This window comes from Homo sapiens, chromosome 16, assembly GCF_000001405.40.
Source record: "Homo sapiens chromosome 16, GRCh38.p14 Primary Assembly".
In the NCBI taxonomy this organism is placed as follows: domain Eukaryota; kingdom Metazoa; phylum Chordata; class Mammalia; order Primates; family Hominidae; genus Homo; species Homo sapiens.
In genome coordinates, this window is record NC_000016.10 from 87340734 (window position 1) to 87364808 (window position 24075).

At 52.2% G+C, this 24075-nt stretch overlaps 1 protein-coding gene across 2 annotated transcripts in view, besides 3 other annotated features; it reads right to left on the reverse strand.

The window, feature by feature from the left end:
• The window catches only part of FBXO31 (F-box protein 31), a 65135-nt gene that overhangs the window by 13747 nt on the left and 27313 nt on the right, over positions 1-24075 (reverse strand). For both annotated transcript variants that reach the window (NM_001282683.2, NM_024735.5), the window contains 4 exons: positions 19562-19633; positions 6441-6517; positions 2865-3032; positions 2144-2218 (listed from right to left, as the gene is read on the reverse strand). In NM_001282683.2, the coding sequence (NP_001269612.1) occupies positions 2144-2218; positions 2865-3005 (216 nt within the window). In that variant the 5' untranslated portion in view covers positions 3006-3032; positions 6441-6517; positions 19562-19633. The remainder of the gene's footprint in view (positions 1-2143; positions 2219-2864; positions 3033-6440; positions 6518-19561; positions 19634-24075) is intronic.
• Positions 5412-5967: an enhancer, noted in NCBI's record as "H3K27ac-H3K4me1 hESC enhancer chr16:87379751-87380306 (GRCh37/hg19 assembly coordinates)". NCBI's record gives its function as "activates a minimal SCP1, AML or CMV promoter by ChIP-STARR-seq in primed H9 embryonic stem cells {active_cell/tissue: H9 hESC(primed)}" and the evidence as "EXISTENCE:reporter gene assay evidence [ECO:0000049][PMID:30033119]".
• Positions 5968-6522: an enhancer, noted in NCBI's record as "H3K4me1 hESC enhancer chr16:87380307-87380861 (GRCh37/hg19 assembly coordinates)". NCBI's record gives its function as "activates a minimal SCP1, AML or CMV promoter by ChIP-STARR-seq in naive H9 embryonic stem cells {active_cell/tissue: H9 hESC(naive)}" and the evidence as "EXISTENCE:reporter gene assay evidence [ECO:0000049][PMID:30033119]".
• Positions 12086-12627: an enhancer, noted in NCBI's record as "H3K4me1 hESC enhancer chr16:87386425-87386966 (GRCh37/hg19 assembly coordinates)". NCBI's record gives its function as "activates a minimal SCP1, AML or CMV promoter by ChIP-STARR-seq in naive H9 embryonic stem cells {active_cell/tissue: H9 hESC(naive)}" and the evidence as "EXISTENCE:reporter gene assay evidence [ECO:0000049][PMID:30033119]".

Consider the following 24075-nt stretch of genomic DNA (forward strand, 5'->3'; position numbering starts at 1 on the left):
GATCACTCGAGCCAGGAGTTTGAGACCTGCCTGGGCAACAAAGTGAGACACCCTCTCTCTTAAAAATTAACATTAAAAATAAAAAATTCCATGGATGGAAAACACACCATAAGAGAAATCCAAAGACAAAAAAAAGGAATAAGAAAAAAACCTGGCAACTCCTATCTGGAAGGGCTTCGATTTCCTAATAGTTAACAAGCTCCTACAAACCCACTTGAAACCCGCCAACACCAAACAGAAACAGAGGCACAGGCTATGACCAGACAGTTCATGAAACAGTTCATAAAACCACAGAGAGCTCCTGATCCCAAGACACTAGGCTGGTCTCACTCAGAATAAGGGAAACATAAACTCCCCCCATCAAGATTCCAGCAATACCTTCCCTCTCACCCTCACTCCTGGGTGTTTCTCTCATTTCCACAAGGAGCACATGTTGTTATATTTACAATCAGGAAAAACACTACTCCAGTTCAAAATCAGTGAGCCCACACACAGAAGTAGGCTTACAGAAACTTTTCCTAATCCCAAAGTATATAGTACCAGAAATGTAATATGGTTTTCTTTTTTAAGGGCTCAACAGCTGAGGAGTTTCTATTCTTGAAAAATCTGTTGACATTTTTCACTTAAATGTGAACCATAAGGCCAGGAGCAGTGGCTCACACCTGTAATCCCGGCACTTTGGGAGGCCGAGATGGGTGGATCGCCTGAGGTCAGGAGTTCGAGACCAGCCTGGCCAACATGGTGAAACCCCATCTCTACTAAAAATACAAAAATTAGCCAGGCATGGTGGCAGGTGCCTCTAAGCCCAGCTCCTCAGGAGGCTGAGGCAGTAGAACTGCCTGAACCGGGAAGGCGGAAGTTGCAGTGAGCCAAGATCACGTCACTGCACTCCAGCCTGGGCAACAGAGCGAGACTCCGTCTCAAAAAAAAAAAAAAAAAAAAAAAAAATTGAACCACAGCAATCACACACATACGTTGTGTTTCTGTATATAAAATCAAATCTAAAATAACAGCATAATTAAAACATTTCCGTTACTGATCATCTTCACATGCCATCTATTCAAGAAAACAGGAACGTCACTTACTTGCAAAGAATTCCGAGAAACAGGACATTTGGTTCATCTCAACCTTCTCTGCAGTCCTCTGGCTGATGGGGAAACCACCACAACTCAAACTAGCTAAGAAAAGCACACCCTGGCCGCGCGCGATGGCTCACACCTGCAATCCCAGCACTTTGGGAGGTCAAGGTGGGAAGACGGCTTGAGCCCAGGAGTTTGTGACCAGCCTGGGCAACATGGCATAACCCCGTAGCATGGTAGCATGCCTGGCTAATTTTTTGTTTTTCCTTTTGAGGCAGGGTCTCACTCTGCCACCCACATGGGAGTGCGGTGGTGCGCTCATAGCTCACTGCAGTCTCCACCTCCTGGGCTCAGACAATCCTCTCACCTCAGCCTCCTGAGTAGCTGGCATGCCACCATACCCAGCTAATATTTTTGGTTTTTGTAGAGACAGGGTCTCACTATGTTGCCCAGGCTGGTTTTGAACTCCTGACTTTAAGTGATCCTCTTGCCTCAGCCTCCCAAAGAGCTGGGAATACAGGTGTGAGCCACCGCACCTTCCTTCTTAAGAGTATTTTGAGAGGGCAGTAAGACTTAGATCCTTGAAAGCTAAAACTCAAGGGCAATATTAAAATACTCAGGCAAACAATCACACACAGGCTTCCCCGCTGCACTGGCACGATCCGGAAGCCTCCACACGGTCTGCTCAAGGATGGGAAACACAGGAACTCTGGGTGCAGCCCTCGGGTCTCCCTGCAGCTCACATCCTAGAAGCAGCCTCCCAGCAACCCCTCAGCAAGTGGATGTGCCCGCCAGAGGGGCAAAGCAGAGCTAACTGAAGAAACGGCCTGTGTGGTTCGTTCGTTCTGCAGGGGGAGGGGACCGGCAACCTGCCCGCCCGCACGATGCTGTTCCTCGAGTGTGCCGGATGCACGGTCTGCACTGACAATACCGGCTGAACCATGTGAAACAGCCACCATGCAGGTCGCATGCTGCTGACTTCTCTCCCGCATGGGTCTGTACTTTCCCCGTGGGGAAAGGAAAGGTCCGCACCATATGAACACAGGGCCGGCTGGTGGGCTCACCTCCTGCCTCCCGCCGGACATCCTGTGGTGGTCCGTCTGGTTGCACTTGGTGGAGAACTCATCCTTCTTCACAATCTTCAGTGTTTGCAACACAAGGAAAGAGAAGAGTGAGGAACAGAGTCCATCACAGCATCCCCCACCCCAGGCAGGTGGCCACGACCCCTCCCTCACCACACCCACCAAACCCCACTGCAGGCACCCAAGATGCGACCAACGCGGTGCCAGCGGAGGGAGCTGAGTCTCCCTGAGCAACACTCCCCCAAGAGCAGGAGGCAGTGGCACATCTGAGAGAGTGGCGTTTGCATTTCCCAGCGTGACACAGAGCAGCAAAAGGGCTGCATCTCACACACAAGGTGTGGCAGATGACACGCTGTGCTCACCGTGGGGGCCACTGCCAGACCAGATCAGAGAACAGAGAGCGCACTTGATTCCACACTGATATTCTTGCAAACAGGAAAAAAAGACAGAGGAACTGAAGTTGCAAAGAAACAGCGGCTCTAACTGAGAGCAGAATCAAGAGGGGTCCAGCAAGTGACCGCTGCAGAGTCCACTGCGCCACGGAGGCGTAAACAATGCACAGCAGGGCAGGGCGGAGCCTCCCTCCCACCCGCCGATCTGCTACAGCCCAGGTCTGCAGCTGAGAATAGCACGGCAGGCCTGGCTGGAGCCCACACAGGACAGCCCTGGGACAGTGAGGACCCAGCCCCGCCGCTGCACACACCTGGATGTGGCCGTGGTGGGGCCCTTTGTGGCCGTACATGCACTCCACTGTGGCAGCCTTCCTCTCCATCAGGTGGATCCTGAACAGAGGCTTGAATCTCATAGGGTCATCGACGTGGGGGTCATGGGGAGGCAGGTACATCCACCCGATGATGAACAGGCCGTCCACCTACAGGAGGAGATGGGCAAAGGTCCATGAGTGGCTCCCGGGCCAGAGCAAGGGCGGCCCCGCACGGCTCCCCGCACTGCAATGGCACAGAGAAGCTCCTGCCAGACCAGCACATGGGACCTGCACGCCCACCCTCGAGGTGCCTCGAATCCCAGCACTATCTTCCAGCTCTGAGATGCAGGTGGACACCAGGAGGAGGCAGAATAATCCAGAAAGTGACACGGGGTGAGGTGCCGACCAGACAGAGGGAAAGGGGGTGCATCTCCCAACAGGAAAGAGTGAACAACAGCAGTGCAAGGGCCTCGTTCGCGTCCTGAGCTGAACAAATTGCCATTCAAAGGAGGCTTTGAGATGATCAGGGAAGCATCCCATGGCCTGGGCAACAGGCAACACAAGGACCGTGTGCCACTTTTGTCAGGTGTGGCAGTGACACGGAGATGCAGGAAACACCCCCTTTCTTAGGGCGCTGCCCGGAGGGACGGACAGCTGAAATGCCACGGGCCTGGGATTTGCTTCAAAACCGAAGTGCAGGGGAGGAGAGAGACGCCAAGACCCCGGGAGGGGCGCTCAGGAGCGGGAAGAGCCGAGGAGTGCGTTGCCCGTGCGATCTCGCGTGTCCGGGCGCCGATCGTGCAAATGCAGAGGCGGGTGGGCCCCAGCACGCTCTGGCCACAGCAGCCACATGCTTATAAGGAAGGACAGCCTAGCCTCACCCCCTTCTGGGAGAGCTGGGACCCATGAGACTGCCAGCTCCAGCAACCAAGGAGAGAATTCCATCATTTCTGTGGCTCACGAGCCTGGGTCAAGCGTGAGCTGGTGCTGTTCTCTCACAGACTCCACTTTCCCCAATTATCCACTGCTTTTTGTTTTTTGGGGTTTTTTTTTTTACTCTATTACTCACTGCCAGTAAGTAAAACAATTACCCTTCCTCCACTAAAAGAAAGGAAAGCAATCTGCCCACCCTGTGAGCTGCCGGGCTGGTCTCTCAGAGGAAACATCCTAAAAGCAAGGCTGGAGCACGCGACGCCCAACACAACAAACGCAGAGCGGGTTTCTCCACAGCGGCTCCCAGCAGATGAAAACCCCACCTGGGGGCAAAACCCATCCCTGCCCCAAACCCCACCTCCGGCAGCGCCCATCCCTTCCCCAAACCCCACCTGGGGGCAGAGCCCATCCCTGCCCCAAACCCCACCTGGGGGCAGAGCCCATCCCTGCCCCGAACCCCACCTGGGGGCAGAGCCCATCCCTGCCCCGAACCCCACCTGAGGAACAAAGCCCAGAGCCACAGAGGAGCCATCTGCCCAGGGGCCATGCATGCCAGGCCTGGAAGAACCTGTGCAGAGGCCACGGGGAGACAGACACACCCGCCCTCGCTGGGCTCAGCCCCTGGTCCCACAAAAGGGAGCGGAGCACAATCCCAACACCAGCACCGGATTTTCAACACAGCAAGAACGATGGCAACAGTGACACCTCAGGGGCCAGCTGCCTGCCCAGAGCTCAACAAAGTCAGGGCGGGGCTTTCCGGAAAGTTCAAGAGGCTCCAGCAGGAGGGTGCGGGGAGGGCGGGAGGCAGGGTGGGAGGGAGGGAGGGGAAGAGGGTGGGAGGGCGGACCGGAAGCCATGCAGACTCCATGCAGACACTGGCACCACGCAGAGCCCGCAGAGCACCACCTCCTCACCCCACAGGGACACCTGCAAATACCAAGAAAAGTCAGACAACTTCACTGTGTTGAATGAGCAGCTACTTTTCAACATAAATTGGCAGGTGACCGAGAAACACAGAAACTAAAACTACAAGCAGACATCTGCTCCTGGCCCTGGCCCCAGAGCTCATATCAAACCTGCCCTCCTGCTGAGACCAGCCACGAAGACTGAACACTCTCTCCTAATTCCAGGAGAAAGAAAACAAGAAAAAGAAAAAAAGACTGAACACATCAGAGAGCAATGAAGGTAGCCCAGTGACGAGGACCCAAGGCCCTGAAGAGAAGGGACAGGCTGAGAGGCGAGGGGCAGGGCCTTCTCCCCCCTTCCTGAGGCCACTGACCACTGGCTGGGGAGGAAGGCCCATGTCTGGCACCTGCAGGCTGGAGAGGCACACACGGAGACCAGGTCTACACAGGAGCCAGGACTACCGCCGCCAAACGCCAAAGATGGCAACCAGAGAACACAGCCCCATGCTGCACACAGGCAGTTGCACGAGGCACCTGCGGAATCCTGAGTGAGGGGTGGGAGGTGGAGGAGGGAAGCAGAGTGGCTGCTGAGAGGAGAAGGGGCCAAGCGAAGCGTGACTCACAAAGCCAGGAAGAGAAAAGGAGGAATCAGGGCCTGGGGATAGAGTCACGGACGGCCTCCGGCTGGGCCCTACAGAGGGTTGTGTCCTGGGAAGGAGAGAGACCCGGAATGAGAACGGGACGCTTCCCCAAGCCTGAGACGCGCGCATACCCCGGGCCTGCGCAGAGCAGGTGCCCTGACTCCACTTTGCCCGCAGGCCGGGGCCAGGGCCTCTTGAGGAGACCAGGCCACGGCACCCAGCAAGTGCCCAGGCGCACAGTGAGGGGTGGGGGGCATCCAACACGCCTGGAGATCAGGAGAAAAGGCGGGGGCTAGACTCGAAAGAAACTTTCACTACTGTACCCAAAAAGATTAACAAAGAGAAGGAAAACTTCACCGAAAAACGGGAATTTAATAAAAAAGAAAGCCAGACTTCCATCTCCAGCCATGATCAAGTACCCAGGACTAGACAGGCACTGCCATGGCAGACCCAACGAACAGGAAAGAAATGTCCTCACGGGTCCTCAGACCCCAACGGCAAGCAGGCTGCCGGGAGAAGGGAAACGGAGACGACTCTGCCACCAGCCTGGACTTCCGCCTGCAACGTTCTAGCACTTTCTAGCAGGGGCCAGCCACCTGCCCAGAGCTCAACAAAGTCAGAGCAGGGCTTTCCGTTCGAGAGGCTCCAGTAGGAGGGCACAGGGGGCGGGAGGCAGGGTGGTCAGAGCGGGTCCACAGCAGAACCCAAGGAAACAGACGTCAGAGTGCACCATGGCTGGAACATGGGGGGCAAAGACCAGGAACGGAAGGACCTGGCTGAGGGCGGGCTCCAGACCCCGCCAACATGTGCGCGATGGGCCTCAGCGTCCAGGAAGCAAAGGCCCTCACAAGCCACCCCCTCAGACCAGAGAGTCCAAGGACGGGCCACAAGGCCGAAGTGTTGCTCTAAGCAAACCTTTGCTCATTTGGAAAATAAAATTGGCTCCTGAAAAGTGACAGAGCAAGAATTTTTTGGTAATTACCTCAAACGCACATCTGGGCCAGCTTGTACCCAGGTAGAAGAGGCCCTCAAATTCCTCCACGTAAGGCACCACTCCTGCCCGTGCACAGACCTCGTCGCGAGGCTCCGGGACTTACCACCACGTTCAGCAGTCCTCCGTATGGCCCGATATCTGGCTGCCACAATCCCAAAATGTGTCTATATCGGTGAAGCACTACAGGAGGAGAGAAAGAGCAAGTCTCTGTGTTAGACCCAGCGTGCCGCAGGGAGCCCAGGAACCCCGAGAGGGAGGAAGGAACCATGAGGACTCACAAAAGGCTTGCAAGAGCCCTCCAAACACATGCACACCAAGCCTCTAAAGATGTATCAGAATGAGGCCGGGTGCGGTGGCTCACGCCTTTAATCCCAGCACTTTGGGCGGATTACAAGGTCAGGAGATTCAGACCATCCTGGCTAACACGGTGAAACCCCGTCTCTACTAAAACTACAAAAAATTAGCCGGGTGTGGTGGCGGGTGCCTGTAGTCCCAGCTACTTGGGAGGCTGAGGCAGGAGAATGGCATGAACCTGGGAGGTGGAGCTTGCAGTGAGCCGAGATCACACAACTGCACTCCAGCCCGGGCGACAGAGGGAAACTCAGTCTCCAAAAAAAAAAAAAAAAAAAAACTATCAGAATGAAACTATCCTCAGAAGGCCTAAGTAAAATGAGTCTCCCATGAAGTGATGAGCCTCCCATCAATGGGGGGAAATCAAGCAAGGCTGGGAACTCTCTCTTCTAGGAATAAGACAGAAGACGTGCAAACAGCGAGCTGGACTAGACCTGCCAAATGCCAAGATGCTGGTAGCGCTACAAGGCATGTCATAAGCAATCAGATCTTTAAAGCTATCCCAACAATGACAATGTCACACTCGCTGAAGGCCCAGGACACAACTTCTCCATCCCGTTCCTTGCCAGCCAATGGTCAGGTCAGGCTGGGCCATCTCACTTCCTGAGCAGCTCCAGGTCACCCTCGAAGCTGCCCCTGGGCCCTGCCCAGGCCTTCACCCCATGGGGTATGGGCCACTGCACCAGCTGCCTCCCCTTCAGGCAGGCCTGAACCCCCAGCCCACCCACTGCCTCTCTCCACGACTCCCTGGCCAGGCTCTAGGCCCTCAGCCATGTGGCTGCCACCAACCTTCCTGCCTCTCCACCCTACCTGCCCGCTCTCCATCAGCCTCAGCCTCCCAGGTCAGCCCAGCCCAGCCCCTCTCCGGCCCCTGCACTGTATCTGCACTCATGAGCCACCCCTTGGATGCTAAATGCCTGATGAAGTCTGCCTCGACTTCACCACCACTGTTAGTTCCCATCATTCGGGAAGCCTTACCCATCAAGAGAAAGCAGTGAGCGTGATGATGGGGGAGAAGGTGGCACCCAGTGACCTTCCCTGAACACGCCTGGGCCCCCTAATGGTAGAGCTTGAGGGTAGCAGCTGATCTGGGGCATGGTCCCAGGAAGAAGGGGTGACCGGGTAGAGACTACAGACCTGGCGGGAGGATAAGCCAACATATAGGGTGCTTTGTGGACACCTCCCCATCACGGTCACCAAAGGGCAGAGGCAGCCGGCCCAGGCTGTTACAGCCTCACCCATCTGGGTCGCTGGAAGCACAGGTCCCAGGGCCCCTAACGGTGGGACAGAAAGTGCTGGGAGCCATCATATGAGGGCTGCCTATGAGAGGGCGGCCTGCACTCACCCGGGACACCCACCAGAGCAGCAGGCAGGACCAGCGCAGGGTGGAGAAGCAGGCCTGGCGCCTGTGTACCTGGAAAGCTCCCGCAAACCCTGGATCCCGCAGAACAACTGAGCACTCAGCAAGGCAGGTAATGAGGGAGTACACCGGAATCCAGCAGAAGCATCGCTCACTCGGTAGGAGGAGCAGCAGACCAAGCCTCGGCAGCAGGAGGCACATAAGTCCACTCACAGCTTTACAAGACTTCAGTAAAGACAGAGACAGGAAACATTCATACATGGGGAGAAAACACTGTGAAGACAAAAACTCCCCCAGCTAATCATCAATAATGTCATCCCAACTCAAATCCACACTCAGCTAATCATCAATAATGTCATCCCAACTCAAATCCACAGGTTTTAAAAAATAATTTAACAAAATGATTCCAAAGTCCATGTGAAGAGGTGAGAGCAGCCAGTGACACTCCAAATTTTAAAAGACAAGTGCTATGAAAATGAACTATTCTAACTACAGCAATCAAAACAAGAACAGAATGAGATATGAAGAAAATAAAATATAATCCCCCGGAAGCCCCAGTGGCAGCTGACACAACCGTGAAAGGCAGGGATTGTGGAACACGTTGGGGCAGAGAACAAAATGTCATGGGCCTGCAGATTAAAATTTCAGCTGCAGGCTGGGCATGGTGGCTCACGCCTGTAATCCCAGTACTTTGAGAGGCCAAGGCAGATGGATCACGAGGAGTTCGAGACCAGCCTGGCCAACATGGTGAAACCCCGTCTCTACTTAAAATACAAAAAATTAGCCAGGCATAGTGGCAAGTGCCTGTAATCCCAGCTACTCGGGAGGCTGAGGCAGGAGAATCACTTGAACAGGGAGGCGGAGGCTGCAGTGAGCCGAGACCACGCCACTGCACTCCAGCCTGGGCAACAGAGCAAGACTCCATCTGAAAAAAAAAAAAAATCAACTGGATCAGCTATTTTTTTAAAATAAATTTCCATCAGCCCGGTGTGGTGGCATGAGTTATGGTCCCAGCTACCCAGGAGGTTGAGGTGGGAGGACCACTTGAGCCCGGGAGGCGGAGGCTGTAGTGAGCTATGATCGTGCCACTGCACTCCAGCCTGTGCAACAGAGCAAGACCCTATCTCAAAAAAAAAAAAAAATCCCCTCTATTTCAAAAGCAGCACATACACAGTCACTGAAGACAATTTAGAAAAAGGAAACCTAAAGCTCACCAGTAATCCCATCACTCAGAGACCACATGCACAGTCCACATGTTGGCGAACATGGTTTATGTCTGCTGTCCTGCACCTGTATCTGCTTGAGTGAGCATGTGTGACTGGACGAATGGGCAGGATCTCGGGGCTCTGCAGGCAGTGGGGGCCATGGGGGTTTCGGAGCACTGGAGTGGCAAGACCACTCCAGACCACAGGAAGGAAGATGGAGCAGGGAGGGCAAGAAAGCCAGGACGGCAGCAAGTAGGTCGCCACCTGGATCTAAGGCACAGGGAGTAAGAAACTTCTCAAGCCTTTGGAGAAGACGCTAGACTCCACCAACAGCTCCCAAGATTCAGCCCAGACCATGGTTTAGGAAGTTCCTAAATGAGCCCCGGCTGTGTGCAGGCTGCTGCCAGCCATCCCACACACAGACACCCCTTTAGGAACAATCCTGAGTCCATTTACAGGACACAGTCAAGCCAGTCTTGTTACTTTACGGTCACACCTAGACGGGTGTGTGATCAGGAACCATAAACACACACTGATCTTGACAATGAAATGCACACTGAAGCATTTAGGAGTGAAACGTACTGACGCCTGCAAGTGTGAAATGCATCAGAAAATAAGTCCACAGATGGCTGCAGGGATGGACTGCTGGGCGGCTGGGTGATAACAAAATGGAGGTTCACTGGACAATTCTTCCAACTTTTCTGTTTTCAAAATTTCATCATGAAATACTGGGGTTAAAAAAAAAACACTATTCAGCATTGCACTCTCTCCTCCTATCCCCTCCCCTCAGCTCCCGCTTTAAGTGCTAGGAACACTGCCCAATGAGCCTGCCTCAGACGCCTGGCAATCCCAAAGTGGGAGTTCCCTGTTGTGCTGAAAAGCAGCATTTCTGAAATAAAAACCCAGCAGCCTGCGAGATGCCAGTTCTAAAGCGACATCCTCCATGCATCTTGAAGCTCTGCGTGTTGGTCAAAGCGACAACACCTTCGCTGTACTTTGGAAGCAACGGCCGCTGCTGACCAGATGTCGGCTCCTTTAGTCTGTGACGGCCACCAAAACCATCCCAAGAGATGAGTCAGAGAAACAGCGTGGCCAGATGGGCTGCCAGCGCACAGACCCAGAGGGGACACAGACTTCCTCGTGGAATCGCAAAGCCTGTGTCTGAGAACACGCACTTTAAAAAGAGTCCTTACGAAGCATGGCTATCGCACAAGCAAACGGATTCATTCAAGAGATGAATCCATGGATTTCAATAGGAATTAAGCTCCCATTCAAACGGTCAAGAGCAGAGCTGGACACGTACGAGTGTGAGCGTGATCTCTATACCCTAATGCCTCACCATTTTTATTATAAACATGTCATCTAGATGCCTATCTTTCTAAATTCGGAGGATGCAGTCCTCCCTAAATTGGGCTCTGGTGGCGGGGGAAAGGAGCCAGGAACAACGTTCCCCGCACTTCAGTGCCCCACAAGGCTCCTGAGTGTCTCAGTCAAGGGCAGCAGATGGTCAGGCCTTCCTGCAAGCCCAGGCCACTTCGAGGGCTCACTTCTGGGCAGCTGCCACATTATCTTCCCATATGAAATAGCAAGGGATAGGGCTGGGTGCGGTGGCTCACTCAAGCCTATAATCCCAGAACTTTAGGAGGCCGAGGCAGGCGGATTACCTGAGGTCAGGAGTTTAAGACCAGCCTGGCCAACATGGTGAAATCCCGTCTCTACTAAAAATAAAAAAATTAGCCAGACATCGTGGCGTACGCCTATAATCCCAGCTACGTGGGAGGCGGAGGCAGGAGAATCGCTTGAACCCAGGAGGCGGAGGTTGAAGTGAGCCAAGATCATGCCACTGCACTCCAGCCTGGGCGACAGACCGAGACTCTGTCTCAACAACAACAAAAATATATATATACATCAGCTTCACATGGAGAGACGCTCTTCGTTTGTACAGTGGCTCTCCACCCTGACTGCGCGTCAGAATCACTAGGGACACGAGAAAACGTCAACGCCAGGCTCCACAGCAGCCAAGTCAATCAGCAAGGCGATGTGGGGTGGGGTGGGGGGCCCCTGTCAGGGTTTCTGAGAAGCTCCCAGGTGACTGTGATGTGTGGCCAAGCTGAGCAGCTCAGTGCAATTTAATCATTCCACAACATACACAGATGCCAACACATCACACTGTGCCCCATAAAGACATAATATACACAATTATTATCTGTCAGTTATAAAGAAATAAACACTTCTCTGACAATCTAGGAGGCTAAACAACTACACAGGAAAACCAACAACCTTATTTCTGCTTTGAACGTTACGCAGTTTTTCAGTACCAAAAATTAAATAGATGATTTAAAAGATGAGAATGTGAATAAGGACATCGCTACCTCTTACTAAATGTTGTTTTAACATCTGGTAGTAGATTACCAGATGCTGAGACTTGTAAGATTTTAACCCTTATTAAAAAGAAAATAACATAACCAAAAAAAAAATTGTTAATATCTGGGTAAAGGCTAAAACGAAAGAAAATAATCCAGGCCAGAAGTCCGCAAACTGGAGTATCACCCGAATCCCACAGGCCTGTTCAGGTCCAGCCCGGAGGTCCAGACACGACAGGTGTGGGAAGAGGCCAGGGAAGCCGTGTCCATCAAGTTCCCAGAAGACATGGATGCTGCTGTCCAGGACCCCACTCTGGGAGCACAGATCTGGCCTCACAGGAGAGCCTGGGAAACGTCAGAATAATCTTTTGAGGTCAACTCATTCCTCTAATTCCAGGCACTGAAAGAAGGCATCTATCTGCCCTGGGAGCCCCGGCATAAATGCTCCCGAAATGAATTCAAAATGAAGCCAAATGGGAAAGTACCGTGAAAGGTGAGGTTACACTTTCTCCTTCCAGCACCGGCCCAGGCGCCGGCACATCTGGGTTCTGGTGCACACCCATCCTGACTCAGAGTCCCTGAACCTTGGCCCACGTGCCACAGGTGGGCTCCATGCTAGGAGACCGGCGGGGATGGAGATTTTGTGGGTGGATGCCCCTCACTAAAGGTGTTGGCCTGTGTTGCTCAGGGGACTCTACGGAAGAAATTGGATTAACATGAGCTCTATTTCCGTCAGCCGAGGCGTGGCCAGGGCTGCTGCCTCCTGGAGGCTGCAGGGGTCCACTCCCCGCCTTGTCCAGCTTCCGAGGCTGCTGCCCTGCTCGGCTCCTGGGTCCTCCTCCACTTTCAGAGCCGCATGCAGCCTCTCCTGCCTCTCACTGTTACTCCCACGGAGAACCCGCCTTGTACAAAGACCCTGTGATGACACAAGGCCTGCCTAGGTGGTCCAGGATGCCCCCCTTGCCTCAGGACCCGCACCTTTACCCACAAAGTCCCCATTACTGTGGAGGCTGGGCTGAGTGGTCTCCCTCAAAATTCACGTCCCCTAGAACCTCAGAATGTGGCCCTCTGTGGAAGTAATCAAGATGTAATGTAGCCGTGAGCACGTTAGGGTAAACGAATGCTTGCGCAGAAAGTGCCCGATCCACTGACTGTTGTCCTTCCGAGAAGACAGAGACTCAGAGACAGAGGGGGCCACGTGGGGACAGAGGCAGGGGCTGCGGCAACGTGGCCAGAGCAGGAAGAGGCGGTAAGGAGGCTCCGCAAGAGCCTTCGGAGGCAGCAGGGCCCCGGACACCGTGTCTTGAACCTGTGGCCTCCAGCCTGTGAGAGGCGGGAAGGAGGCTCCGCAAGACCCTTCGGCGGGAGCAGGGCCCCAGACACCTTGTCTTGAACCTGTGGCCTCCAGCCTGTGAGAGGCGGGAAGGAGGCTCCGCAAGACCCTTCGGCGGGAGCAGGGCCCCGGACACCTTGTCTTGAACCTCTGGCCTCCAGCCTGTGAGAAAGTGGGTTTCTGTTATTTTAGACCCTCTTTGTGTTCATCTGCTCCAGCAGCCCTGGCAGACTCCCACACCGATTAGATGACAACTCCACAGGCTTGGGGACTAGGATGCGGACGTCTCTGCGGCCCCCGCTGTGCTCCCACAGCTACATAATGGGATTCTGCCTCATGTGCGCCTGCTCCGCGTTCACCTCCAGTTTCAGAGGAATGGACATTTGTAAGGAATTCTACTACATTTCTAAGCAAGGCACTCCATATTTTTAGAAGATATCATTGTTAATATCTGAGTAAAGGCTAAAATGAATTGGAGTTTTACATATTTTAAAAAGTACAGAACATTGTCCAGGCGCGGTGGCTCACGCCTGTAATCCCAACACTTTGGGAAGCTGAGGCGGGATAATCGCTTGAGCCCAGGAGTTCCAGACTGGCCTGGGTAACATAGGGAGCCCTTGTCTCTACAAAAACAACAGAAAAATTAGCCAGGTGTGGTGGCACACACCTGTAGTCCCAGCTAACTAGGAGCTGAGGTCAGTCATCTGAGCCCGGGGAGATGAAGGCTGCAGTGAGCCATAACCGCGCCAGTACTCCAGCCTGGGCAACAGAGCGAGATCCTGTCTCAAAAAAAAAAAACCCAAAAATGCACTTTGACTGGCTTCACCAACGTGCAGAGAAGCAGATGTATCAGATCTGCTGTCAGGACAACAGGCTTCCCCTTAACACTCCCAACACCTTACAAATGCGTATTATCCAGAGTGCCAGGCAACCTCATGCACCCAAGGAAAAAAGAAAAGATACCCCAAAAGTAGTGACTCTGAGGTCACAAAACTACTCCACAGGCCGGGCACACTGGCTCACACCTGTAATCCCAGCACTTTGGGTGGCCGAGGTAGATGGATCACCTGAGGTCAGGAGTTTGAGACAAGCCTGGCCAAACTGGCAAAACCCCGTCTCTACTAAAAATACAAAAAGTAGCTGGGCATGGTGGCATATGCCTGTAATCCCAGCTACTCAAGAGGCTGAGGCAAGAGAGTCACTTGAACCGGGAGGTGGAGGTTGCAATGAGCCAAGATCGCGCCACTGCACTCCAGCCTGGGTGACACTGGGTGAGACTCAATCTCAAAAAAATAAAAATAAAAGAAACTATTCCTCAACATTAGGGTCCCAGCCTTCTACCGTATGGGCTTGTTCCCACCCAGGACAGTCCTACACTCAGGGATGTTAGCTCAGCCAGGCGCAGTGGCTCACGCCTGTAATCCCAACACTTTGGGAGGTCAAGGCAGAAGGATTGCTTGAAGCCAGGAGTTTAAGACCAGCCTGGGCAATAAAGCAAGACCCCCATCTCTATCATAAAATAAAATAAGATGTTGGGCCCACAGCGCAAGGTCCAAAGGACTTCAACACGACCAGTTAACGGCCCACGTGAATGATGGAAACACAAGCCACGCACGGCCCCAAAATACTCAGAAGCCAATCAGGGCAGACTTTTCCGAAAGGTTTGGATGCTGTGAGAGAACAAATTTTGAGACGCTCTCCATGAAGACACACTAAGAGCAGCTGAATACTGAAAACCCACACATCACAGGCATAGGTTGAGGCTGTTGAAATTGGCTTTCTTTTTTCACACACAAGAACTTTTTCTTCCTGATATTCTAGTAGGTCATCCACTTAAATTTGTCCAAAGAGAAATGCAACCAATGTTTAACTGCTGTTTTTCATTTTATTTTCTAAATTTTTCAAGTTTTCTACAATGACTTTGTGTTTTTATAACGACACTCAAACTTCAGCATGAACAACAGTATGTCAATCAAAACCCACATATGATAAAGCCGCCAGCTCGAAGCAACTGGCGCTACATCACAATAGGAGGCTGCGCAGCCTGGATGCTCGAGAGGCCAGCCCGGCAGCGTGGGGAGGAGGTCTCTTCCTCGTGAGCTACATGAAGCTTCCCTCCACCTGCCTCGGGGACAAAAGGAATGTCCCCTGCCCCCAGTGCAACTCTGAAGACTCGCTAGGCCCCAGCTGCGCGGCCTCCCCAGAGGCTGGTCAGAATTCCATCCCAGGTCCACAGTGCACATTCCAGAGAAATAGTGAGACAGACATGCGACATGAGGAGCCTCTCAGTGCTTGTCCCCTTGTATTGAAAAGCCCTTGCCCAATCACCTGAGGTCAGGAGTTCAAAACCAGCCTGGCCAACATGGTGAAACCCTGTCTCTACTAAAAATACAAAAATTAGCCGGGCGTGGTGGCAGGCGCCTGGAGTCCCAGCTACTTGGGACGCTGAGGCACGAGAACTGCTTGAACCCGGGAGGCAGAGGCTGTAGTGAGCTGAGATCACACCACTGCACTCCAGCCTGGGTGACAGAGTGAGACTCCATCTCAAAAAAAAAAAAAAAGAAAAGAAAGAAAGAAAAGAAAAGCCAGCACATTCCTGTCAGCACCAAGGAGAGACTGTTGTCAACGCTCACTAAGTCGACTGTTCCCTCCCACAGCTCTCCTCACTGACTGCTCAGAGGAAGGGCTGGTCAGTCTAGAACGGCACAAATGTCTTCAAACGTTGCCCACCCCTCCTTTTCCACCTCGGCCCCTTCCAGCCCCGTGTTCCCCGTCCACAGACTCCTGAGAGGTCCACAGACTCCTGAGAGGTCCCCTGGCTCTGGCCTCCACTCAGCTAGACAGTTCACACCTCAACAAGGCAGTGCTGTTAGCAGGCGTGTAAAGGGTTCAGACACCACCCTGAAGCGTGCTAACCAAATCCAGGCACCTCCGCACCAACTACACGAAGGTCCCCTCAGTAAAGCGGGACCCAGTTCCCCAGCTGCAGTGATCTGCTGAGATCTGGCAGGACATTAGGTGAAATTACTCTTTCTGCTTTCAGTTGGTGTTTTTAGAAATCGGGCATTTATGAAACTTAAGATGTAGGTCTGCTCCCAACAGACCATGCTGACCCATGGGCCATCGGGGTGGACTGAAAGCAGTAGTAGGGGCTCCACGAGCCTCTAGAAACTGCAACACAGCTTTTAGGGCAGGTAGGTGTTTTCAATCTCTTTCTGGACAGCTGAAATTCATTGTCTCCATCACCACTCAACCACTCTGAGCTAATAAAAAGTGGAAACAGGCCAGGTGCAATGGCTACACCTGCAATCCCAACACTTTGAGAGGCCAAGGTGGGAGGAATGAATGAGCCCAAGAGTACAAGACCAGCCTGGGCAACATAGTGAGACCCGTCACTACAAAAAACTGAAAAATTAACCAGGCATGGTGGCACACGCCTCTAGTCCCAGCTACTAGGGAGGCTGAGGCAGGAGGATCGCTTCAGCCCAGGAGTTCAAGGATACAATGAGCTGTAATTGTGCCACTGCACTCCAACCTGGGCAACAAGACAGACCCTGTCTCAAAAAAAAAAAGTGGAGACAGCATTAAATTCCTATAACTGTGGCTTAGAAAAATTTCCAGAGCTCCATCAAAAGAATTCGGTTCTTTTTTTTTTTTTTTTTTTGAGACAGAGTCTCGCTCTTGTCTCCCAGGCTGGAGTGCAATGGCGTGATCTCGGCTCACTGCAACCTTCACCTCCCGGGTTCAAGCGATTCCCCCACCTCAGCCTCTGGGTACCTGGGATTACAAGCACACGCCACCACACCCAGCTAATTTTTGTACTTTTAGTAGAGATGAGTTTCACCATGTTGGCCAGACAGGTCTCGAACTCCTGACCTCAGATGATCCACCTGCCTCGGCCTCCCAAAGCACTGGGATTACAGGCATTAGCCACCATGTCTGGCCAAAAAGAAGAATTAAGTTCTAAAGAGTCAACTGTTAGCCAGGCACGGTACCTCATGCCTGTAATCCCAGAACTCTGGGAGGCCGAGATGGGCAGATCACTTGAGACCAGCCTGGCCAACATGATGAAACCCCATCTCTACTAAAAATACAAAAAAATTTGCTGGGCATGGTGGTGTATGCCTGTAATCCTAGCTACCTGGGAGGCTGAGGTGGCAGTATTACTTGAACCGAGGAGGCAGAGGTTGTGACACTGCACTCCAGCTTGGGTGACAGAGTGAGACTCTGCCTCAAAAAAAAAAAAGGAGTCAACTGTTGCTACCTGCCTTTGTCTATTGAGGGTATATGCATATGTGATTTTTAATTCACATAGGCTATTAAAATGTGATTAAAACTAATAAAGGTCAGAAGTCAAATATTCATATTTCACTTTAGAATAAAATTTTAAAGCTTCTACTCTGTTCGTTCCTCTCTGTGTCTGCAGTAGCTCCTCAATAAACGATACATGTGAAAATGTGCATTAAAGTGATCTCGACTGGTAGTACCCAGAAACCACTGCAGAAAGGTAAGCCAAATGCAGCCTGGGTCCAACACACAGGTGTGATCTCTGTCACAGCTGAAGCAGAGCCACGCTGCAGCAAGTGAACGTGAAAGGATGACAAAAAGCCACGAGGTCCGCTTGCTCCAGGACCAAAGCTGTCCCATGTGTGAATCAGAGGGCCCTCCCCATGCAGTTCTTGGCCGTGCTGGCTGCCGCAGAAGCCAAAGCTCGCAGGAGGTACATACGGCAGGTGTAAACGTCTCTGTACGCCATGTGCTCATAATCAGGGAGAATTTTCACAAAACGTCCCGACTTCACGCGAGGGTTTATACCTGAACAGACACAGCAGGGAAAGGGCTAAGGATGGCTCCCTTTACAGGACTGTGCAAACAGCGTGAATACGACCCAATGCCTGCCCCTCACCAGTGTGATACAATCCCCTCGTGTTTATGCAGCCACCCAGGACACAGAGAGGTGGCTCTGAGAAACCTGCTGGAGAGAACAACACTGTGACACGTTTTCCTTCCATCAGTGGTGCCACCAGAAACTCACGGTGGCAGCAAGCTTGGAAATCCTTTCCATATTTGATCACACTCCTCCCGGGGCCAGCACACTCCCGGCAGGCCCCAGGCCACAGCTCACTGGGGCTCAGGAGGTGGGAGGGCAGGTGTCCTGGCAGGTGAGCATCTGGGATGACCGTCTAGAGAACACTTACCCCGGCTAACATACTCACTTTGCCCAGCACCCACCTGGCGTTTCCCAGCCTGCTAACTCAGGCCAGCCTCGTCACAGGTCATCCAAGGTTGCCCAACTACACCACCCGTTTCTGGAGCTAAGGCTGATTTTCTTCCACCACCTGTTCCCAAAGCTAAGTAATTTTCTCCTGGATAAGCCTTAAAGCAAATTCACAGAAACACAGTTGCTGCGCTGTGAAAATGAACACTGACATTTGCTTTGGCCACTGCAGACTAACACTGCGGGGAATAAACACTGTCGGAAACAGATCATGTGAATTCTCCGCATTTTGCAAACACTTTCAAGGGGTCAAGAATCAGCAGTGAAAAGAAATCTCCCAATGCCCTGTCCTCCTATCCCCTCTTCTGTGCCCACCCCCTGCCCTACCCTCGGCCACACTGCCTCCTGCCTGCCTATGCCCGGATGGCCTCTCCCACAGGACAGGAGGACTCAGTGCTCAGGCAACACCTCCGACCCCCACAGCTGGAAGGAGCATCCATGTGTACACTCCTATGGCTGTTACAGGAAACCCTAACACCTGGGCAGGCCAAACACCTGTGTCCCTACCGGGACATGACTTTTGGTGCTGACAACTCTTAGAGAGAAATATGTCTTCATGTCACTTTGAGATGATATGACCCAAATGGCCTAAGAAACTCAAAGAGCAACTGCCTTGCAGAAATGAAAAAGAAAAAAGAAAAGAAGCTCAAAGAATGGTCAGAAGATGAAAACGTGGGGTATGAGACACTCACAGAAACCCTCTGACCATCCAAAAAAGCCAAGAGCTTCGTCCAGTGAGCAAGAAATGGGAAAGTCCCTGGCACTGAAGAAACACCCGCGGGAAGACAGCCTGGGGCCAAGGAGCCTCTGCCTGATCGGTGAGTGTCACAGTTGACTCTGGAAAGCGGGTGAACCAGAGAAACATGAAACGGGGCTGGGGGGCTCAGCCTGCTCACAGAATGCTAAAGGGAAGGAGAACTCTAGCAGGGGGGCTGTTCTCCGTACCTGGGGCTTGGACAGAAGGCACCACAGCTTCATTTCCCAATGACCACAGGCAGTCCCATCCTGAAGGCTGGAGGCCCAGAAGCCAGAGAAACAGGCAGCCTCCAGGAACACCCAAGTCGCTCTGGTGCAGCCTACATTTCTCAGCTCTAAAGGGCCTCGATGCCTGGTAAAAGACACTAGTATCTACGATGCCCAGAATGGGAGAATACGGTGTCCCCTCCCTAATTTTAGTGCTGTTACTACCAGTGCTCTATTCAAAATGTGACTGTAAGATGGTGTCTGAGAAAACAAAAGTGTGGACTAAATCACTTTGATTATTTGTCATTGATGTGCACTGTCTGCTTCTGGTACAAAGTTAATCATGGATGGTAACAAATAGATTCACTCACGCTTCGCATAGACGTCCCGACAAGACACGCCTGTGATCTCCAGCTTCCGCAAGTTTTCGCAAACACCATACTCTGTAACAAGAAACATTTGCAGAAATTTAAGATCAACAACTCATAACGCGACAGACGTGGGCAGGCTGCTGATGGCTGGCAGGGGAGGTGCACACCTAGCCTCAGCCCCATCTCCAGAGTGCATCTGTCACTGTGGAGATTTCACTGACTTCTCCACATTCAGTAAACACCCTTGTTCACCGATGAAGACATTATTCTATTTTAGTCAATGTCACCCTTTACAAAATAATAATCTGCAATGTCTATTCTAATAAGCTCTAGAAGCCTAACCACACAAACCAATATCAGACAATCCCTAGTTTATGAACAAGGTGAGGCAGAATTCAGTTGTCTGGACACAGTGCCATGTTTCCATGGAAACAAATTCACCACTGGTGTTAGGGTTCAGACAGTGCCAGAGGCCAGTCCACCCCATGTACTTCCCTGTGCTGCCTGTGTGTTCAACTCAGCCCAAGGCCAAGAGGGGACCGTGCAAGACATGGGGGAAGGGGTGAACATTGTCCCTTCTCCACTGGCTAGGCTTGGCCAGGGCCCAGTGCAGGGCCCTGGACACCTCCCGCAACCCCTGTCCTCACACCCTCACCTGCTGACAGCACCTTCCTCTTTGTCCCCTACTCCCACCCCACCACAGCTGCACTTTTCACAATCACCAACACCCAGCACGTCCCAAGCAAAATCCCAGGTCCTCCGGCTTGGGTCTCCGCTAGCCTTTGAAAGGAAAGACCGCCAGGGACTAATCCACACAACTACAGAACTGCACATGGGCCAAGAGCTGCTACTGGCAACACCTGCATTGAGCTTTCCACGTGCTGTGTACCATGCCAAGCCATGCTGGGCATCACCTCACTGCATCCTACAGCAGTCCCATAAGAGAGTCACCACTGTCATCTCCATTTTAACAGAGAAAACAAGTGCAGAGAGGTGACATGACTCCACAAAGGACCTGGAGCTTATGGTCAGCTGGGACCAAGAATTGAAGCCTAGATCAAAAAGCTTCCTTCGCAGTGAGAATGTGGCAGGGGCACAACACAGGAGACGGGACGAGGTGGCTGGGTCTCCACATGGACCACTGCAGCTCACACTGACTGTGTTATGCCCTGTGCAGGCGTGAGAGCCTGACAGTGACCTTGAAGGTCAGGACCCTCCCTGTGGCAGCGAGGGAAACCGAGGCCCAGTGAAGTTGATGGCCATCAGAGCTCATTCAGCAGTCACAATACAGGAACGTCGATACGATGCGGTCAGGCTAGCCAGGTAGCTCCAAAGTGCTGCCCCTCATCACATGCCTTTTGATAAGCCCTACTCGCGCAGAGGCCTCATCCCTTCTTTTCAATAGCATGGATGCTATTACCCCAAATGCTTCTCTAACTGGAAGCACTGACCGTACTCAAAGTAAAGCTCGAGAAGCAGACAGGGTGGAGACAGCAGTCAAGGCGAGGTGGCTGCTACTCAGCAAACCTCTTTCCAGCGGGACCGTTCCAGGCTTGTGCCTTGACAGCATGTCCCCTGCCTCCACTTCTGAACCTCAAGGCTCCTAGAAGGCCTGTGTCTCCTCTCAGTTGTGGTCTACGGGTCCCCCTTAGCGGGAGGACCTGGGAAACTACATCCTAAATCCAGTAGGCTCCAGTGAGGAGTGCCCAGAGTGGGTCCCCTAATAAATACACCCAGCGAGGAGACGCATTTTAGTTCTTTGGAGAAGAAAACAGGAATGAGAAGAGTGAGTCACTTGAAGATCTCCCACAGAGCCCAGGAAGCTGCTGATTCCAGATCTAGGCCGGGGCTGCCCTGATGGAAACACAACGTGAGCCACAAATAGCATTCACATTTTCTAGTAGCCACATCAAAAAGGGTACAATTAAACAGGTAAAATTCATGGTAATATTTTATTTAACTCAGCATAACTAATTATTATCTTTTCAATGTGCAGTCATTACTGAGTTATCTTTTTTTTTTTAGAGATAGGGTCTCACTATGTTGCCCAGGCTGTAATGTAGTGGCTACAGGTAAAACATACATACATACATACATTTATTTATTTAGAAATGGAGTCTCATGTCCCACTATGTTGCCCAGGCTGTAGTGTAGTGGCTATAGTTAAAACATACCATTCATTCATTTATTTAGAGATGGAGTCTCGCTCTGTTGCCCAGGCTGTAGTATAGTGGCTACAGGTAAAACATACATACATACATTTATTGATTGATTGATGGATGGATGGATGGAGTCTCGCTCTGTTGCCCAGGCTGAAGTGCACTGGTGCAATCTCGGGTCACTGCAACCTCCGCCTCCCAGGTTCAAGCGATTCTCCTGCCTCACCCTCCTGAGTAGCTGGGCCTACAGGCACACAACACCATGCTGGGCCAATTTTTGTATTTTTAGTAGAGATGGGGTTTTAATTCACCATGTTGGCCAGGCTGGTCTCCAACTCCTGACCACAAGTGATCTGGCCTCCCAAAGTGCTGGGATTACAGGCGTGAGCCACTGTGCATGGCCAGAGTTTAAACATTTATTTATCAATTACTTTGTCCTTATGACCAGGGGAGTCAGGGACCCCTGTCTTTACTACAAACAGGCCTGGGGACCAGGACCTTTGTCCTCCCTTCAGTCAGGGCCAGGGATGAGGAGCTGACATGCAGCATGAAGCAGCCCAAGGGCCGCTCTGACAACCATCCAGGCTGACTCCTGCTAGTAATGACAGAGAAAAAACCAACACCAGGTGCAGGTTAAAAATAAAACAAAAGCCGGGCGCGGTGGCTCATGCCTGTAATCCCACCACTTTGGGAGGTCGAGGTGGGAAGATCACCTGAGGTTGGGAGTTCGAGATCAGCCTGACCAACATGGAGAAACCCCGTCTCTACTGAAAATACAAAATTAGCCGGGCATGGTGGTGCATGCCTGTAATCCCAGCTGCTAGGGAGGCTGAGGCAGGAGAATCGCTTGAACTCAGGAGGCAGAGGTGGCAGTGAGCCAAGATCGCACCACTGCACTACAGCCTGGGCAACAAGAGCAAGACTCTGCCTCAAAAAAAATAAAAATAAAAATAAATCAACACCGGCTCATCTCCTTTGCCTCACGGTCTAGGGGCCTCCTGGGTGACCTGGGGCATCTGAGGCTTGCCTGCCAAGGAGGACCAAGGACTGGTAAGAATTTCTTAAGTGAAAATTTGTCAATGATAGAATAATAATGAAGAAAATTCAGCAATTGCCTCCAGAGAATTTTGTTTTAGAGGAGCTCTCCAACTGTCCAGGGTGACTGGCAAGAATGGCAGGAATAAATAGTTTTTTAATGAAAATCTCTTGCTACATGGTTAAGTGCTACGGGGAAATCAAAGAATCATGAGAGAACTGGACAGGGACTCTGTGAGAGTCTCCTGAGAGGGACTCTCAGCAAAACCAACACTGTCTTGAGCTGTGGAGGAAAAAGGCAAATGATAATAAAAGACTTAGTCTGTGTTACAAATAACTGGAGCAACAACATCTTCATTTTTCATCTGTAAGTTAAAGGAACTGGACCGGATCATCTGTCAGCTCCCCCTTCCGAGCTCTCAACATCCTACGATTCTAGTTGGAGATAAAAGAATATTCACCAGCAAATGTTTACAAATGGGAGGGGGAAGGGGAAAGACGCTGATGCAGAGCAAGGACGGGGAGGGCAGGGCTGGCGGGGTGAGAGCTGCGGCCGCAGGCTGGCAGCCGCCCCACCTCCTGTTCCATTATAATCTTATTTTGGTTATGTTGATACAACACAATCTGTCCTTCCAAGTGATCACCGGAGTCCAGATATTTCTGTCAAGTCAGCCAACCAGGAAGGGGCTGCAGACAAAGTGCGGCAACAGGGACTCCACCAGGCCATGGAGCTCATCCCACAAGACGCCTCACCGCACAGGAGGGCTGACCCCAGGGAAACGTGTCACCAGGACACAGCACGAAGCTCAAAAGGGGCTAGCATGCTCTGTGCAGCTGCCAGACTCTGCCCTGAAGAATCACAGGGCACTCTAGTGAGCGCTGCAGCAGCCAGCAGGCCCTGGATGGCCAGGTGTGCAGTGGGGAGGCACAGGGGGTGCACCAGGACGCAGCCAGACCTGGGCCAGTTCGCGCCGACTCTTCTCCATTCCAGAGGTCCAGGAAGCACCTGTCAATGTGGAAGTCAGAATGCTCAGGCCAAATACCGAGATCAACTAACTATTCAGGTTGAACCAGAGGCCTGGGCGGGGGCATCCAACTGCCCACCCGTCAGACTGAGGGACGCGTCACCCCAGGCCACAGCCCTCCAGAATGCAGTACAACCACTAGGTATGACTTATCAGCTACAGTGAACTCCGGGAGGAAATCCCACCGCTGATACCATCATTTAGTTTCACTTTGCAGATTACAAAACATTTTATCTGGTGGCTCATGCCTGTAATCCCAGCACTTTGGGAGGCCAGGGCAGGCGGATTACCTGAG